General features: G+C 48.8%; 1 protein-coding gene across 8 annotated transcripts in view, besides 2 other annotated features; it reads right to left on the bottom strand.

Moving 5' to 3' along the window:
- Nucleotides 1–19,010, bottom strand: part of SPATC1 (spermatogenesis and centriole associated 1) — a 36,138-nt gene that overhangs the window by 8,644 nt on the left and 8,484 nt on the right. Inside the window, exons 1-2 of one of the 8 annotated variants that reach the window (XM_011517024.4) lie at nucleotides 13,135–13,197; nucleotides 12,996–13,006 (exon numbers count right to left, since the gene is read on the bottom strand). The exons of the other annotated variants lie outside the window; for them this stretch is intronic. The gene's annotated coding sequence lies outside the window, so the exon portion shown is untranslated. Of the gene's footprint in view, nucleotides 1–12,995; nucleotides 13,007–13,134; nucleotides 13,198–19,010 lie in introns of those variants that run through there. 8 annotated transcript variants of the gene reach the window in all.
- Nucleotides 588–1,110: an enhancer, noted in NCBI's record as "NANOG hESC enhancer chr8:145092262-145092784 (GRCh37/hg19 assembly coordinates)". NCBI's record gives its function as "activates a minimal SCP1, AML or CMV promoter by ChIP-STARR-seq in naive H9 embryonic stem cells {active_cell/tissue: H9 hESC(naive)}" and the evidence as "EXISTENCE:reporter gene assay evidence [ECO:0000049][PMID:30033119]".
- Nucleotides 18,565–18,794: a silencer, noted in NCBI's record as "silent region_19651". NCBI's record gives its function as "represses an Ori minimal core promoter by ATAC-STARR-seq in GM12878 lymphoblastoid cells {active_cell/tissue: GM12878}" and the evidence as "EXISTENCE:reporter gene assay evidence [ECO:0000049][PMID:35858748]".

Here is a 19,010-nt window from a genome sequence, read left to right as displayed (position 1 = left end):
TTTAAAGAAGTAAAATTCATGCGGTTTTTTTTTTTTTTGAGACAGAGTCTCGCTCTGTTGCCCAGGCTGGAGTGCAGTGGCACAATCTCGGCTCACTGCAACCTCTGCCTCCCGGGTTCAAGCGATTCTCCTGCTCCAGCCTCCTGAGTAGCTGGGACTACAGGTGTGTGCCACCAGGCCCAGCTAATTTTTGTATTTTTAGTAGAGACGGGGTTTCACCATGTTGACCAGGATGGTTTTGATCTCTTGACCTCATGATCTGCCTGCCTGGGCTTCCCAAAGTACTGGGATTACAGGCATGAGCCACTGCACCTGGCTGTAAAAATCAATTTTTTTTTTTTTTTTGAGACAGAGTCTCACTGTCGCCCAGGCTGGAGTGCAGTGGTGCGATCTCGGCTCACTGAAGGCTCCGCCCCCCGGGGTTCACGCCATTCTCCTGCCTCAGCCTCGCGTAGCTGGGATTACAGGCGCCCGCCACCTCGCCCGGCTAATTTTTTGTATTTTTAGGAGAGACAGGGTTTCACCGTGTTAGCCAGGATGGTCTTGATCTCCTGACCTCATGATCTGCCCGCCTTGGCCTCCCAAAGTGCTGGGATTACAGGCGTGGCCACCGAGCCCGGCCAAAATTCATTCTTTTTTTTTTTTTTTAATTAATCTATTTATTTTTATTGATCATTCTTGGGTGTTTCTCGCAGAGGGGGATTGGGCAGGGTCATAGGACAATAGTGGAGGGAAGGTCAGCAGATAAACAAGTGAACAAAGGTCTCTGGTTTTCCTAGGCAGAGGACCCTGCGGCCTTCCACAGTGTTTGTGTCCCTGGGTACTTGAGATTAGGGAGTGGTGATGACTCTTAACGAGCATGCTGCCTTCAAGCATCTGTTTAACAAAGCACATCTTGCACCCCCCTTAATCCATTCAACCCTGAGTGGACACAGCGCATGTTTCAGAGAGCACAGGGTTGGGGGTAAGGTCACAGATCAACAGGATAAGAATTTTTCTTAGTACAGGCAAAATGAAAAGTCTCCCATGTCTACCTCTTTCTACACAGACACGGCAACCATCCGATTTCTCAATCTTTTCCCCACCTTTCCCCGCTTTCTATTCCTCAAAACCGCCATTGTCATCATGGCCCGTTCTCAATGAGTTGTTGGGTACACCTCCCAGACGGGGTGGTGGCCGGGCAGAGGGGCTCTTCACTTCCCAGTAGGGGCGGCCGGGCAGAGGCGCCCCTCACCTCCCGGGCGGGGCGGCCGGCTGGGCGGGGGGCTGACCCCCCCACCTCCCTCCCGGACGGGGCGGCCGGCTGGGTGGGGGGCTGACCCCCCCACCTCCCTCCCGGACGGGGCGGCTTGCCGGGCGGGGGTCAGCCCCCCGCCCAGCCGGCCGCCCCTACTGGGAAGTGAGGAGCCCCTCTGCCCGGCCAAAATTCATTCTTAACAGGCTGTGTACAAAGGTGGTGGTGGCATAGATCACATATCCTTTTGTACCTTGCCACTTGTCACGGGACACACACCATAGCAGCTCCGGCATCATGATTCTTTGCAAATGGTGCTATTGTAGCTGCGGAGGCCTCATCTTACGGACGTGCTATTTTTTTACTGAGCCTATCTCAGTGGATGGGCATTTCAATCGATTCCCGTGTTCCCTGATGACAAACACCCTATTACGTAAGTCTTGATGATTGATTTTTTTCCTGGAAATAGACATTTTACAGGCTCCCTTGGAAGTGTTCTGATGTTCCCCAGGAAGTCTCTGAGTGCACTACTTCTATCTCTTCAGAGCTAATCCTCTGTGATGTGTGGTGAGATGTTCTGCCACTTTATTTGCCTTTTGAATTCTAAGTTCTGGGCCGGGTGTGGTGGTTCGTGCCTGTAATCCCAGCACTTTGGGAGGCTGAGATGGGCAGATTGCTTGAGTTCAGGAGTTCGAGACCAGCCTGGGCAACATGGTGAAACTCCGTCTCTACAAAAAATCCAAAAATTAGCCGGGTATGGTGGTGTGCACCTGTAGTCCCAGCTACTTGGGAGGCTGAGGTGGAGGATCACCTGATCCCAGGAGGTTGGGGCTGTGGTGAGCCGTGATCGTGCTACTGCACTCCAGTCTGAGTGACGGCATGAGATCCTGTCTCATAAAAACCCAAAACCTTCTAAGTTCCGCTTTCCAAACAAGTAAATCAAAATTGCACAATCCAGTCAGCTGCTCTTTTACTTATGTATTTATTTTTAGTTTTAGAGATGGGAATCTAACTCTGTCGCCCAAGCTGGTCTCAAACTCCTCAAGCAATCCTCCTGCCTCAGCTTCCTAAAATGATGAGATTATAGTTGCGAGCCACCACTCCCAGCCTGGTCTTTTATGATTTCTTGTTCTGACTTTTTAGAAAGTTTTGTTTTAGGACCCAGGAGACAATAAAGCTTGTGGGCCAAAGGCAAGCAGTCCATGGAGAGGACAGACGTGAAGGAGAGGGAGCACAGAGTGGGGCAGACAGAGGGATGGGCTGCATGTGCTGAGGTGGAGGATGGAGCTCAGAGTGCGGCTGTCTGTCCTGCTTGGCCTCCAATTCCTTAGGAGAGCCCAGGGTCTGGGTGATGTGGGAAAGGACCACTTGGGGGCAACATCTCCAGGATGACTGGGGAGAGGCAGTCAGGGGCCACTGTCCCCGCACAGCCAGGGCAGCCTAAGGAGCGCCGGTGGTCCTAATGTTTGAAGCAGCCAGGTCAGGTGAGAAGACAGGACAAATGTTTCCTCTTGCCGCCTACTCTGGGAAGGTGGCCGCTGTGGAGGGGCCAGCCGGTCAGGGCTGAGAGAGGGCACAGCACTGGACAGGCCATGGTCTCGTCCCCAGAGGGAAATGGCCCGGTCTGTTTTTCGACCAAGTTGGATTCCAGGCAGGACCATCACGTAGCACACAGAAGGTAACTGAGGGAGCAATTCACAGAAAGTCTAACACCAAAATGTATAAAGCAGAAGCCACGGGGACTCCCAGGAGGCGCTGGAGTGGTAGCTTTGTCAAGGTCCAGGACAGAAGGAACAATGGCGCCGACACAGATGGTGGGATTACAAAGCCAGTCTACTGTCTGATGTGCTGCTGCACACTGAGAGGGTGGTGTGGCTGCCGTGAGCTGGGTGCTATTGGTACCCTCTACCCCTCACCCAATACAGTAAGTGCTACCCACTTTCTTCCCATGCTGCCCTCATCCTGCTAGGAACGAGGGCTCCAGGGAAGGCCAAGTACAGATCAGAGACAGAAGCATGTGGACAGAGTTGATGGGGGAGGGCAGGCGGGCCTGGGGAGGAGGGCCTGTGAGAGCAGGGGGCAGATGCCAGGCCTCAGAAAGACCCATCCTGTTTGTCTGTTAATGATAAAACCTTGGCACAACAAACCACGGAAAAATTGTTCAGCAAATCATGAAATGTTCAAATGTATAATAGCTTGATGTGAAATCATTTACAGTACTATTTGTAAAGAAAATATGAGAACACAATGAAATGCTTATAGTAAATATTAAAATTGTTACATCAAGTGTAGGAATGTGGATTAAAAGCTGAGAGTTGCCAGGCGCAGTGTTTCACACCTGTAATCCCAGCACTTTGGGAGGCCGAGGCAGGTGGATCACGAGGTCAGGAGATTGAGACCAGCTTGGCCAACATGGTGAAACCCCGTCTCTACTAAAAATACACAAAATTAGTCAGGTGTGTTGGTGTGTGCCTATAGTCCCAGGTACTCGGGAACCTGGGGCAGGAGAATCGCTTGAACCCTGGACTCGGAGGTTGCAGTGAGCCAAGAGTGTGGCATTCCACTCCAGCCTGGTGACAGAGTGAGGCTCCGTCTAAAAATAAATAAATAAATAAATAAAAGCTGAGAGTTGCATTCTCCACTCTGAAAAAGAGGTGGGTAAATACTCCCCATGTGTCTGGTGGTGACCTTTAAGGGGTGTATGTAAATGTCAAGTTAATTTTTTTTCTTCTTTATATTTTCATGTACATTCTAAAATTTTCACAATATGAGTATGTATTTTAAAAAACAAACTTTATGAAGAAAAGTGTTTTCTAAAAAAAAAAAAAAATGCATTTCTGCCTGGTTTTGTCTTGAGACCAGGAGGGGCCACAGCCCTGCTCACACTTAGCAAACAAAGCCAGGCCCTTACGGGCAAGGCTAGTCCAGGGGTGGCCCAGCCTCATGTGGAGAGGGATCTGTGCTTCCTTCCCAGCCTGTGCTATGGAGGCCCGTGCATGCCCAGTCCTCTTGGTGGCACCTTTGGCTTCCCTGTCCTCCAGCACTCCCTCTACAACATGCGCCTCCCCAGGAGCCCTCCTGCCTTCCCTGGCCAATGCTGGGCCTTTGTGGTCAACTGGGCAGGGCCCTGTAAACAGGCCAACTGCAGAAGAGGGAGGGGAAGAACTCAGATTGATAGAAGTAAAGGTTAGGCCCTGAAAAATAAGAGATTTTCAAACCCAAGTGGCCTGGCTGCATCCCGCCAGCACGAATGCAACCTCAGCTCTTTCAGGTAGAGCAGGGAGCCCAAGGACTATCTCCCCATCAGGATTCCTTGCCGTCTCCTTCCTTTTCAGGTGGGATTTGCCTGCCAGTGCTGAATAGTGATGTGGTCCCCTTTCCCAAGTCCCTGTGCCTCTGCTGGTGGTGATTCCCAACATATTTCAGCATGGACTGAGAAAAGCCAATGTTAGCATAAAACCAAACCCCACATGAGGCTCTGGAGACACAAAGTCACTGAGGCCAGTGCATGCCACCCACATCAGTCTGCAGGGCCAGTCACATCTGCTTTCACTGCCCATGGGTAAGGATGTGTGTGCTGCATTTGTCTTTCCCTTTGGACTCAAACTAGCCAGACAGGTAGCAACTGAAAATGGAGGATTAGAGAGCTCCACAATTTCAGCCCTCCACCAAAGCTACGATTAAGCTGGCAAAAATGATCAGAGTAAACTTTTTTTGGGTCTCCAGAATCTAATAAAAATCTTACAATAACCAGGGGAATGCTTAATGAGGAAGCTACTAAATTTTGGGAGGAAAACATAGGCATTTTAACTTTTCTTTCTTTCTTTTTTTTTTTTTGAGACGGAGTCTCGCTCTTGTTGCCCCAGGCTAGAGTGCAATAGCACTATCTCAGCTCACTGCAACCTCCTCCTCCCGGGTTCAAACGATTCTCCAGTCTCAGCCTCCCAAATAGCTGGGATTACAGGTGCGTGCCACCATGCCCAGCTAACTTTTTTGTATTTTTAGTAGAGACAGAGTTTCACCATGTTGGCCAGGCTGGTCTCGAACTCCTGACCTCAGGTGATCCGCCTGCCACGGTCTCTCAAAGTGCTGGGATAACAGGCGTGAGCCACTGTGCCCAGCCTAACTTTTGTTTCATGCCATGTAATTTTTTTTTTTTTTTTTTGCTGTTTGTTGAAAACTGGACATTTGAAATATTATAGTTTGGTAACCCTGGAAATGAGATTCACCTCCTCCCCAGGCTTTGCTATTGCTGCTTGTTGTGGGTCGTAGTTGGTCGTTGTTTAGTGACTTTTCTAAACTGCTTTTATAAAGACCGTATTCTTTGTTGTGTGTGCTCATGGAAATCCCTATCTGTGCATATGACACACAGAAGTCACTATCCTCACAGACACCTAATATCTCCCACTCTGTGCATCAGTGATGGCCATAAGGTTGGCGGTCTGCCTTCCTGGTGTGGCTTGCTCGCATGAGGGGGAGCAATATGGACAAAAATTACAATATTTTGCAGAAAACAGTTTAGAAAAGTCACTAAACAAACAAGTATGACCCATAACAAGCAGCAATAAACCCTGGGGAGGGAGGAATAATCTTATTTCCAGAGTCACCACGTTATAATATTTAAAATGTCCAGTTTTCAAAAAGCTAAAAAGCATTCAAAATGCCAGGTGGGGTGGCTCAGGTCTGTAATCCCAGCACTTTGGGAGGCTGAGGTGGGCAGATCATGAGGTCAAGAGATCGAGACCATCCTGGCTAACATGGTGAAACCCTGTCTCTACTAAGAATACAAAAATTAGCTGGGCATGGTGGCGGGCACCTTTAGTCCCAGCAACTCGGGAGGCTGAGGCAGGAGAATGGTGTGAACCCGAAAGGCGGAGATTGCAGTGAGCCAAGATCGTGCCACTGCACTCCAGCCTGGGTGACAGAGCAAGACTCCATCTCAAAAAATAAAATAAAATAATAAAAAATACCATAACTAAATTGAAAAATTCACGAGAGGGATTCAACCGATCTGGGCAGGCAGAAGAATGAATCAACAAACTTGAAACTAAATCCATGGAGATTATCCAGTTTCAGGAATAGAAAGAAAAATGAATAAAGCCTAAGAGACCTCTGGGACACCATCAAGCATAGCAACATACTCTAATAGAAGTCCTGGAAGGAGAAAGAGAGACGATAAAGAGAAAGGAGCAGAAAAAAAAAATATTTGTAGAAATCGACCAGGCATGGTGGCTTACACCTGTAATCCCAGCACTTTGGAAGGCAAAGGTGGGCAGATCGCTTGAGCCCAGGAGTTCAAGACCAGTCTGGGCAACATGGCCAAAACCTGTCTCTACCAAAAATACGAAAAATTAGCCGGATGTGATGGCACATGCCTGTGGTCCTAGCTACTCAGGAAGCTGAGGTGGGAGAATTGCTTGAGCCTGGGAGGTGGAGGCTGCAGTGAGCCAAGATCATGCCGCTACATGATGGGTGACAGAGTGAGACCCTGTCTTCAGAAAAAAAAAAAAAAAGAAAGAAAGAAAAAAAAAGAAAAAGAAAAAATAGTTGAAGAAATAATGTCTGAAAATTTTCTAAATTTAGTGAAAGATATGGATCCACATATCAAAGAAACTCAGTGAACTCCAAGTAGAATAAACTCATAGAGATTTTCACTGAGATACATTACAATCAGACAGTTGAAAGACAGAATCTTTGAGGCCAGAGGATCGCTTGAGGCCAGGAGTTCAAGACCAGCCAGGGCAACGTAGTGAGACCCTATCTCTCTAAAAAAAAAAAAAAAAAAAGAAAAAAAAATCTTGATAGCAGCAAGAGAGAAGTGACTCATCATGTACAAGGGATCCTCTATAAGATTAACAGCAAAATTTTCATCAGAAACTATGAAGGCCAGAAGGTAGTGGTTTGACATATTTAAGCTGTTGAAAGTAAAAAGATCAAAGAAGAATTCTATATTCCATAAAACTATCCTTCAAAGATGAATGAGGAATTAAGACATTCCCAGATAAACAAAAGCTGAGGGGATTTATTGCCAGTAGACCTGCCCACAAGAAATGCTAAAGGGAGTCCTTTAGGCTGAAATGAAAGGAAACTAGACAGTAACTAGAAGCCATATGAAAAAATAACACCAATGGAGGTAACTACATATGCTGATGTCAAAGCCAGTATTATTGTATTTTTGGTTTGTATCTCCCATTTTTCCTATATGACTTAAAAGACAAATGTATAAAACAATGATTATAAATATATGCTAGTGTGCACATACTGTATAAAGATGTAACTTGTGACAATAATAACATAAAGGGGGAGGACAGAGTTATATATTATTTATATACTGTATGTATATTTTGCATACTATTAAAGCTAAGTTGCTATTAATTTGAACTAGACTGTTATAAATTTAAGATGTTTATTGTGACCCCCAGGGTAACCACTAAGAAAATAACTTTAAAATGTACAGGAAAAAAAAAGTAGGAGAAGGAATCAAAATGGTATACTAGAAAAAATTAATTAAACACAGAAGACAATAAAAGATACACTGAGGGGAAAAAAGACATAAGACATGCAGAAAATAAACAGCAGGCCAGGCATGGTGGCTCATGCCTGTAATCACAGCACTTTGGGAGGCTGAGGCGGGTGGATCACCTGGTGTCAGGAGTTCAAGACCAGCCTGGCCAGCATGGTGAAATCCAGTCTCTACTAAAAATAGAAATATTAGCCAGGCGTGGTGGCTGATGCCTGTAATCCCAACTACTCAGGAGGCGGAAGCAGGAGAATTGCTTGAACCCAGGAGGCGGAGGCTGCAGTGAGCTGAGACGTGCCACTGCACTCCAGCCTGGGTGAAAGAGTGAGACCCTGTCTCAATACATACATACATACATACATACATACACAGCAATGTGGCAGAAATAGTGCTTTCTTATCAGGAATTCCTTTAAATAGAGTAAAATAGGCAGTCAAAAGGTAAGAGATTGGCAGAATGGATAAAACAGTCAACCAAAAAACACTCCCATGTTCCTATTATATGCTGCCTAAAAGAGACTCACTTTAGATCGAAAGACACACATAGATTGAAAGTGAAGGGGTAAAAAAAGATATTCCATGCAAATAGTAATCAAAAGAGAGCTGGGTGGCTATACTGATATCGGACAAAATAGACTTTAAATCAAAAATTGTTACAAAAGGCAAAGAAGAACATTATATATTAATAAAAGTTTCAGTACAATAAAATGTAACAATGATTAACATTCATGCACTTAATAACAGATCCGGAAAATATATAAAGCAGAAATGGACAGAATCAAAGTCAGAAATAGACCGTTCTACAATAATAGTTGGAGACCCCACTTTCGGTAGTGGATAGAACCGGACAGAAGATCAGTAAGGATATAGAGAACTCAAACCTTTCTATAAACCAACTAGCTCTAATGGACATATACAAAACACTTCCCTCCAACAACAGTAGAATATACATTATTCTCAAGGGAACATGAAACATTCTCCAGGATGGATCACAAAAAAAGGTCTCTAAGTTTTAAAATATTGAAATCATATAAAGTATCTTCTCTGACCATAAGAATGAGACTAGAAATCAATAACAGATGGAAATCTGTAAAATTCACAACTGTGGAAATGAAACAACACACTCTTTATTTTTATTTGTATTGTTTTTGAGACGGAGTTTTGCTCTTGTCACCCAGGCTGGAGTGCAGTGGTGCGCTCTCGCCTCACTGCAACCTACACCTCCCAGGTTCAAGTGATTCTCCTGCCTCAGCCTCCCGAGTAGCTGGGATTACAGGCACACACCACACTTGTCAGATTTTTGTATTTTTAGTAGAGATGGGGTTTCAACATGTTGCCCAGGCTGGTCTCAGAACTCCTGACCTCACGTGATCTGCCCAACTCGGCCTCCCAAAGTGCTGGGATTACAGGCGTGAGCTACCGCGCCTGGCCCTGTACCAACTGATTTTTGGCAAGTGTGCAAAGACAATTCAATGGGAGAAAATCTTTTTTTTTTTTTTTTTTTTTTTTTTTTTTAGTTCTGGGGTACATGTGTAGGATGTGCAGGTTTGTTACATAGGTAAATGTGTGCCACAGTGGTTTGCTGTACCTATCAACACATCACCCAAGTATTAAGCCCAGCATACATTAGCTATTTTTCCTGATGCTCTCCCTCCCCCAACCCCTCCGACAGGCCACAGTGTGTGTTGCTCTCCTCCCTGTGTCCATGTGTTCTCATTGTTGAGCTCCCATTTGTGAGTGAGAACATGCAGTGTTTGGCTTTCCTGTTCCTGGGTTAGTTTGCTGAGGATAATGGCTTCTAGCTCCATCCATGTCCCTGCAAAGGACATGATCTTATCCCTTTTTATGGCATAATATTCCATGGTATATATGTACCACATTTTCTTTATCCAGTCTATCATTGGTGGGCATTTTGGTTGATTGCATGTCTCTGCTATTGTGAATAGTGCTGCAATGAATATACACGTGCATGAATTCTTCATAATAGAATGATTTATATTCCTTTGGGTATATACCCAGTAATGGGATTGCTGGGTCAAATGGTATTTCTGGTTCTAGGTCTTTGATGAATTGCCACACTCCCTTCCACAATAGTTGAACTAGTTTACATTCCCACCAACAGTGTAAAAATATTCTTATTTCTCCACAGCCTCGTCAGCATCTGTTGTTTCTTGACTTTTTAATAATTGCCATTGTGACTGGTGTGAGATGGTATCTCATTGTGGTTTTGATTTGCATTTCTCTAACAACCAGTGATGATGAGCTTTTTTTCATATGTTCGTTGGCTGCTTGAATGTCTTCTTTTGAGAAGCGCCTGTTCATGTCCTTTGCCCACTTTTTAATGGGTTTTTTTTTTTCTTGTAAATTTGTTTGAGTTCCTTGTAGACTCTGGATATTAGACCTTTGTCAGATGGATAGGTTGCAAACATCTTCTCCCATTCTATAGGTTGTCTGTTTGCTCTGATGATAGTTTCTTTTGCTGTGCAGAAGCTCTTTAGTTTAGTTAGATCTCATGTGTCAATTTTTGCTTTTGTTGCAATTGCTTTTGAAGTTTCTGTCATGAAATCTTTTGCCTGTGCCTATGTCTCAAATGGTATTGCCTAGATTTTCTTCTAGAGTTTTTATTGTTTGGGGTTTTACATTTAAGTATTTAATCCATCTTGAGTTAATTTTTGTGTAAGGTTTAAGGGGTCGAGTTTCAATTGATAAAATAATCTTTTTTTTTTTGATAGAGTCTCGCTCTGTCACCCAGGCTGGAGTGCCGTGCCACCATCTTGGCTCACTGCAAACTCTGCCTCCCAGGTTCAAGTGATTCTCCTGCCTCAGCCTCCCGAGTAGCTGGGATTATAGGTGTGCACCACCACGCCCGGTTAATTTTTGTATTTTTAGTAGAGATGGGATTTCACCATGTTGGCCAGGCTGGTCTCAAACTCCTGACCTCAAGTGATCCACCTGTCTTGGCATCCCAAATTTCTGGGATTACAGGCATGAGCTACTGTGCCCAGCCTGAGAAAATAATCTTTTTAACAAATGGTGCTGGTATAACTGGATATCCATGTTACAAAAGAATGATGTTAGACCCCTACTTCACACCATATACAAAAGTTAAATCAGAATGGAGTAAAGGCCTAAATGAAGAGCTAAAACCATAGAACTCTTAGAATAAAACTTGGGGTGAATCTGCATGACCTTGGATTTGGCAGTGGATTCTGAGCTATAACACCTAAGGCACAAACAACAAGCGAAACAATAGATAAATTGGACCTCATCAAAATCAAAAGCTTCTATGTTTCAAAAGACATTATTAAGAAAGTGAAAAGACAACCCAAACAATTGGAGAAAATATTTGCAAGTGATATATTTGAGGAGGGACTATATCCAGTGTATATAAAGAATCTTACAAGTCAACAATAAGAAGACAGCCCAATTTAAAAATGAGCAATGGGCTGGGCAGGATGGCTCATGCCTAAAATCCCACCACTTTGGGCGGCCGAGGTGGCAGGATCATTTGAGTCTGGGAGTTTAAGACAAACCTGGGCAACATAGTGAGACCTTGTCTCTATTTTTATATAGAAATTAAGAAATAAGCTGGGTGTGGTGGCTCACGCCTGTAATCCCAGCAGTTTGGGAGGCTGAGGCAGGCGGATCATGGGGCCAGGAGATCGAGACCATCCTGGCTAACATAGTGAAACCCCGTCTCTACTAAAAATCCAAAAAAAAAAAAAAAAAAGAAAAAAAAAATTAGCAGGGCGTGGTGGTGGGCGCCTGTAGTCTCAGCTATTCAGGAGGCTGAGGTAGGAGAATGGCATGAACCTAGGAGGTGGAGCTTGCAGTGAGCCAAGATCGCGCCACTGCACTCTCTAGCCTGGGCAACAGAGCGAGACTCCGTCTCAAAAAAAAAAAAAAAAGAAAAAGAAAGAAATTAAAAAAATAAAAATGGGCATTGGATCTAAATAGATATTTCTCAAAAGATATACAAATGGCCAATAAGCACACCTAAAGAAGCTCAGCATCATTAGTCATTAGGAAATACAAATCAAAACTGCATTGGAATATCACTTCACACCCACTAGGATGGTTATGATTTTAAAACATCAGATGATAACACATATTGGCAAGGATTTGGAGAAATTGGAACCCTCATACGTTTCTGGTGGGAATGTGAAATGGTGCGGCGGCTTTGAAAAACAATCTGGCAGTTCCTTAAACAGTTGAACATAGAGTTACCATATGACCCAGTAATTCTACTCCTAGATATATCCAAGAGAGATGGAAACATGTCTGCACAAAATCTGTACATGAATGTTCATAGCGGCATTATTCATAATAGCCCAAAGGAGGAAATAACCCAAATGGCCACCAACCAATGAATGAATAAACAAAATGTAATATAGCCATACACTGGAATAGTATTCAGCCATAAAAGCGAAACAAAACAAAAAACCCTAACTATAGCCAGGAGCTACCGCATGGAAGAACCTTGAAAACATTATGCTTAGTGAAAGAAGTCAGTCACAAAAGACCGCATATATGATTCCATGCTTATGGAATGTTGAGAATGGGCAAATTCATACAAACAGAAAGTAGATTAGTGGTTGCTTAGAGCTGGGGAGGGGGTGGTGAGAGGGTAGGGGTGTGATAGCTAAAGGGGATGAGGTTTCTTTTTGGGGTGATGAAAGTGTTCTAAAATTGATTGTGGTAATGTTTGTACATACCTGTGATTATACTAAAAACCAGTGAATTATGCACTTTAAATGGGTGAATTGTATGGTTATATGAATTACATCTCAGTGAAGCTGTCATTTAAAAAAGATTCACTGGGGTCACAGGCATTTATTGTGGCAGAAAAGGCACATTTATGGTTCAGGGGCCAAGCTAGTGCACACCTGGGAGGCATTACAGGCTCTGCAGGCACAGACCATGAGGAGCATATGCCCTGCTCACACTGGGATGGCCTCAGTCTACGACCCATCAGAATCACTGATGAGATCTCAGCAGCTGCCTTACCGAGGTCCCTGGTCAGGAAACAGGGTACCTTTGGGTTCATGACTGCAAGATGCCATGGGTGGAGGGAGAGTCCTCAGCTAACAGACACCCACTGTTAGCTTGTGTTTAAGAGATTTCAGTCCCGTCGCATGATATTCCAAGGCAATATGTACAAGTGATTTCTTAACCTTTTGATAATTTGTGTTTAATTTATTTAGATTTGTGAGTTGAAAATCTTAGGCTCCAGTACAAGTACCTTGAAAAGAACTTGAAGAGAACATTGAAGAGGACTTCAGATTCACTGCGTTTATATGATTATTTAATTATTTAGGTCTCTCAGCAAGGTTTGGTACATCAAACAATTGAAGTTAAAAAGAAAAGTAAAAGCTAGACACCTGGCCTCACGACTGGAATCCCAGCACGTTGAGAGGCTAAGATGGGAGGATCACTTAAACCAAGGGGAGGATTGTGAGGGGAGAAAGTATGAGGGAAGAAGGTCCTGTGGGAAGAGAGTCCTGAAGGGAGAGGGTGCTAAGGGGAGAGGGCCCTGAGGAGAAAGGGTCCTGAGGTGAAATGATCCTGAGAGGAGAGGGTCCTCAGGGAAAAGAATCCTCAAAGAAGAGGGTCCTGAGGGAAGAGTTTCCTTAGGGGAGAAGGTAGGTCCTGAGGGGAGATGGTCCTAGGGGGAGAGGGTCCTGAGGTGAGATGGTCCTGAGAGGAGAGGGTCCTCAAGAAAAAGGGTCCTGAGGGGGGAGGCTGCTGAGGCTGGAGGGTCCTGAGGGAAGAGGATCTTGAAGGAAGAGGGTCCTGAGGGGAGAGGGTCCTTAGGGAGAGGGACCTGAGGTGGGAGGGTCCTGAAAGGAAAGGTTCCTCAGGGAAGAGATTCCTCAGGAAAGAGGGTCCTGAGGGAAGAGGGTCCTCAGGGAAGAGGGTGCTGAGGGGAGAGGGTAGGTCTTGAGGGGAGAGGGTCCTGAGGGAAGGAGGGTTTTCAGGGAAGAGGGTCGTCAGGGAAGAGGGCCTTCAGGGAAAAGGGTCCTGAGAGAAAAGTTTCCTGAGGAGAGAGGGTCTTGAGAGAAGAGGGTCATGAAGGGGAAGGTCCTGAGGGGACAGGTTCTTCAGGAGAGAGGGTTCTGAGGGAAGAGGGACCTTAGGGAAAGGGTTCTGAAGGAAGAGAGTTTTGAGGGGAGAGGGTCCTGAGGGAAGGGGGTCTTGAGGGGAGAGGATCCCAAGGGGGGTCCTGAGGGGAGTTTCAAGGGGAGAGGGTCCTGAGGGAAGAGGATCCAGAGGGAAGAGGATCCTAAGGGAATAGGGTCCTGAAGGAAGGGGGTCCTGAGGGAAGGGGGTCCTGAGGGAAGGGGGTCCTTTGGGGAGAGGGTCCTGAAAGAAGAGGGGTCTGAAAGAAGGCGGTCCTGGGGGAGGAAGTTTATGAGGGAAGAGGGTCTTGAGGGAGAGGGTCCTCAGGGGAGTGAGTAGGTCATGAGGGAGAGGGCCTGGAGGGGAGAGCATCCTGAGGGTAGAGGGTCCTGAGGGAAGAGAGTCCTGAAGGGAGAGGGTCCTAACGGGAGAGGGTCCTGGGGAAAGATGGTCTAGAAGTAGGATGGTCCTGTGAAGAGAGGGTCCGGAGGGGAGAGGCTCCTAAGGGTACAGGGTCCTCAGAGAAGAGGGTCCTGAGGGAAGGTGGTCCCGAGGGGAGAGGAGAGGGTTCTGAGGGGAGAGGGTCCTTAGGGTAGAGGGTCCTGAGGGGAGAGGGTCCTTAAGGTAGAAGGTCCTGAGGGAAGAGGGTCCTGAGGGGGGAAGGTTTTTAGGGAACAGGGTCCTCAGGGAAGAGGGTTCTGAGAGAAGAGCTTTCTGAGGGGAGAGGGTCTTGAAGAGAGAGTGTCCTCAGGGCGAAGGTCCTAAGGGGAGGTCCTGAGGGGACAGGGACAGGGTTCTAGAGGGTTCTGAGGGAAGAGGGACCTTAGGGAAAGGGTTCTGAAGGAAGAGAGTTTTGAGGGGAGAGGGTCCTGAGGGAAGGGGGTCTTGAGGGGAGAGGATCCCAAGGGGGGTCCTGAGGGGAGTTTCAAGGGGAGAGGGTCCTGAGGGAAGAAGTTCCTCAGGGAAGAGGGTCCTGAGGGAAGAGCGTTTTCAGGGAAGTGTGTCCTGAGGGAATAGGAAAGGTCGTGAGGGGAAAGGGTCCTGCATAGAGAGTGTCCTTAGAGAAGAGGGCCACGAGGGGAGACAGTCACGAGAGAGGAGGGTACTGAGGCGATATGGTCCTGAGGAGAGAGGGTCCTCAGGGAAGAAGGTCCTTAGAAAAGAGGGTCCTGAGGGGGGAGGGTTTTCAGAGAAGAGGGTCCTCAGGGAAGAGGGTCCTTAGGGAAAGGGTTCTGAGGGAAGAGGGTCCTGAGGGGAGAGGATCCTGAGGGGAGAGGTTCCTCAGGGGGAGGGTCTCAGGAGAGAGGTCCTGAGGTGGGATGGTCTGAGGGGAGAAGTTCTCAGGGAAGAGGTCCTGAGGGAAGAGGGTAGGTCCTGAGGGGAGAGGGTCCTCAGGGGAGAGGGTAGGTCCTGAGGAAAGAGGGTCCTGAGAGAAAGGGGTCCTGAGGGAAGAGGGTCCTGGGGGGAGAGGGTCCTGAGGGAAAGGAGTCCTGAGAGAAGAGGGTCCTGAGGAGAGAGGGTCCTTAGGGGAGAGGGACCTGAGGTGGGAGGGTCCTGAGGGACGAGGTTCCTCAGGGAAGAGGGTCTTGAGGGAAGAGGGTTTTCAGGGAAGAGGGTCCTGAGGGAATAGGGTAGGTCATGAGGGGAAAGGGTCCTGCATAGAGAGTGTCCTTAGAGAAGAGGGCCATGGCGGGGGATGGTCACAAGAGAGGAGGGTACTGAGGCGATATGGTCCTGAGGAGAGAGGGTCCTCAGGGAAGAAGGTCGTTAGAAAAGAGGGTCCTGACGGGGGAGGGTTTTCAGAGAAGTGGGTCCTCAGGGAAGAGGGCCCTTAGGGAAAGGGTTCTAAGGGAAGAGGGTCCTGAGGGGAGAGTTTCCTCAGGGAAGATAGTCCTGAGGGAAGGCAGTCCTGAGGAGAGAGGGTCGTGAGAGGAGAAGGTCCTGAGGGGAGAGAGACCTGAAGTGGGAGGGTCTTGAGGGGAAAGGCTCCTCAGGGAAGAGGTTCCTCAAGAAAGAGGGTCCTGAGGGAAGAGGGTCCTGAGGGGGAAGGGTTTTCAGGGAAGAGGTTCCTGAGAGAAGAGCTTCCTGAGGGGGGAGGATCTTGAGGGGGAAGGTCCTGGAGTGTGAGGTTCTTCTGGACAGAGGGTCCTGAGGTGAGAGGGTTCTGAGGTAAGAGGGTCCTTAGAAGAAAAGTTCTGAGGGAAGAGAGTTTTGAGGGCAGAGGGCCCTGAGGGGAGAGGGATCTGAGGGAAGGAGGTCCTGAGGGAAGGCAGTCCTGAGGGGAGAGGGTCCTGAGAGAAGGCAGTCTTGAGGGGAGAGTTTCTGAGAGGAGAAGGTCCTGAGGGAAGGCAGTCCTGAGGAGAGAGGGTCGTGAGAGGAGAAGGTCCTGAGGGGAGAGAGACCTGAAGTGGGAGGGTCTTGAGGGGAAAGGCTCCTCAGGGAAGAGGTTCCTCAAGAAAGAGGGTCCTGAGGGGAGAGGGTCCTGAGGGGGAAGGGTTTTCAGGGAAAAGGTTCCTGAGGGAAGGCAGTCCTGAGGAGAGAGGGTCGTGAGAGGAGAAGGTCCTGAGGGGAGAGAGACCTGAAGTGGGAGGGTCTTGAGGGGAAAGGCTCCTCAGGGAAGAGGTTCCTCAAGAAAGAGGGTCCTGAGGGAAGAGGGTCCTGAGGGGGAAGGGTTTTCAGGGAAGAGGTTCCTGAGATAAGAGCTTCCTGAGGGGGAGAGTTTCCTCAGGGAAGATAGTCCCGAGGGCAAGGCAGTCCTGAGGAGAGAGGGTCGTGAGAGGAGAAGCTCCTGAGGGGAGAGAGACCTGAAGTGGGAGGGTCTTGAGGGGAAAGGCTCCTCAGGGAAGAGGTTCCTCAAGAAAGAGGGTCCTGAGGGAAGAGGCTCCTGAGGGGGAAGGGTTTTCAGGGAAGAGGTTCCTGAGAGAAGAGCTTCCTGAGGGGGGAGGATCTTGAGGGGGAAGGTCCTGGGGTGTGAGGTTCTTCTGGACAGAGGGTCCTGAGGTGAGAGGGTTCTGAGGTAAGAGGGTCCTTAGAAGAAAAGTTCTGAGGGAAGAGAGTTTTGAGGGCAGAGGGCCCTGAGGGGAGAGGGATCTGAGGGAAGGAGGTCCTGAGGGAAGGCAGTCCTGAGGGGAGAGGGTCCTGAGAGAAGGCAGTCTTGAGGGGAGAGGGTTCTAAGGTGGGAGGGTACTGATGGGGAAGGTCCCGAGGAGAGAGGATACTGAAGGAAGAGAGTCCTGAGGGAGAGAATTCTCAGGGGAGAAACTGGGTCATGAGGGCAGAGGGTCATGAGGGAAGAGGGTCCTGAGGGGAGAGGGACCTGAGGGAAGGGGGTCCTGAAGGAAGAGAGTCCTGAGGGGAGAGGGTCCTGAGGGAAGGCGGTCTTGAGGGGAGGGGGTTCTAAGGGGAGAGGGTCCTGATGGGAAAGGTCTTGAGGGGAGAGGATACTGAAGGAAGAGGGTCCTGAGGGAGAGAATCCTCATGGGAGAAAGTGGGTTATGAGGGGATGGGGTCCTGGGGGCATCAGGTCCTCAGGGGAGAAGATCTTGAGGGAATGAGAGTCCTGATGGGGGAAGGTTTTCAGGGAAGGAGGTTGTCAGGGAAGAGGTTCCTGAGGGGAGAGGGTCTTGAGGGGGAAAGTACTGAGGGTAGAGGTACTTAAGGTGAGGGGGTCCTGAGGGGAGAAGGTCCTGAGGGAAGAGGGTCCTGAGGGAAGAGGGGTCTGAGGGAAGAGAGTTTTGAGGGGAGAGGGTCTTTAGGGAAGAGGGTCCTGAGAGAAGAGAGTTCTGAGGGGAGAGGGTTTTGATGGGAGAGGGCCCTAAGGGAAGAGCTTGGTCCTAAGGGCATCAGGTCCTGAGGGAAGAGGCTCCTGAGGGAAGAGGCTCCTGAGGGAAGAGGATCCTGAGGGAAGAGGGGTGCGAGGGGAGAGGGTCCTGGCGGGGAGGGTCCTGAAGGGAGAGTATACTCAGGGAGGAGGGTCCTGAAGGAAGAGGGTTCTGAGGGGAGAGGGTTCTGAGGGGAGAAGGTCCTGAGGGGAGAGGATACTGAAGGAAGAGGGTCCTGAGGGAAGAGGGTTCTGAGGGGAGAGGGTCCTGATGTGAGGGGTTCCTCAGAGAAGAGAGTCCTGAGGGAAGAGTGTCCTGCGGGAAGGTGGTCCTGAGAGAAGAGCGTTCTGAGGGGAGAGGGCACTGAGGGGAGAGGGTTATCAGGGAAGAGGGTCCTGAGGGAAGGTAGTCCTCGGGGGAAAGGGTTCTGAGGGGAGAGAGTCCTGAGAGGGAAGGTCCTGAGGGGAGAAGTTTCCAAGGGAAGAGGGTCCTGAGGCGAGAGGTTCTTCAGCGGAGAGGGTCTTCAGGGAAGAGTGTCCTGAGAGAACAGCCTCCTGAGGGGAGATGGTCCTGAGGGAAGAGGGTCCTGAGCGGGGAGGGTCCTTAGAGGGGAGGGATGTGTCCTGAGTAGGGAGGGACAGATCTTGAGCGGGAACGTGTTTCTTGTGGGGTAGAGTCTTGTGGGGTATTGACGGGTCCTGAGGGGCCGGATGCATCTGTGGGGTTCGCAGGTCCTGAATTCAAGGCAGGTTCTCGTGTGAGGGAAACTGTGACATGGGGGCGGGCGTTCGTGCGGGAAGGCCCTCCGGAACTGAGGGAAGACTGCCCCCTGCCGGAGGAGACCTGCCGCAGCCCCCGGGGGAGGCAGTGGGAGAGCAGGACGAGGCGGCCCTGAGGGGAGAGGATCCTCAGGTAGGTGTGTGGGCTCGGGTGAGGGAGGGGTGGTGAGGGCTGGGATGAGGAGGATGCTGGTGGCTAGAGCAGGCCCTCAGTCCTCCTTTCTTGACTGCCTGTTCCGTGCTGACGGCTGTCCCACCTGTCACCTGAGCTCTGTGTGGAGGAGCCAGGTCTGACCGGTGGGGGCAGGAGCCAGTTTTCAGTGCAGTTACTGTTTTAGTGTCTTGAGCCCCCATCTTGGCCCTCATTTCTTGTCTCCCCAGCTACTCCAACAGCCCTATCTCCCTGCAAGCCCCTGAGCCCTCAGGAGCAGGACGCCCCGCAGTCTGCATGCCGCAGCTCCCACCTGCCCGTGCACGGGGCCAAGTCTGAAGCTCTTGGCGCCTGTTCTGTCCCGGTGAAGTTAACTCGGCCAACGG

Source organism: Homo sapiens, chromosome 8 (genome assembly GCF_000001405.40).
Source record: "Homo sapiens chromosome 8, GRCh38.p14 Primary Assembly".
Classification (NCBI taxonomy): Eukaryota; Metazoa; Chordata; class Mammalia; order Primates; family Hominidae; genus Homo; species Homo sapiens.
Note: the sequence above shows the minus strand (reverse complement) of the source record. Positions and strands in the feature narration are given on the sequence as shown.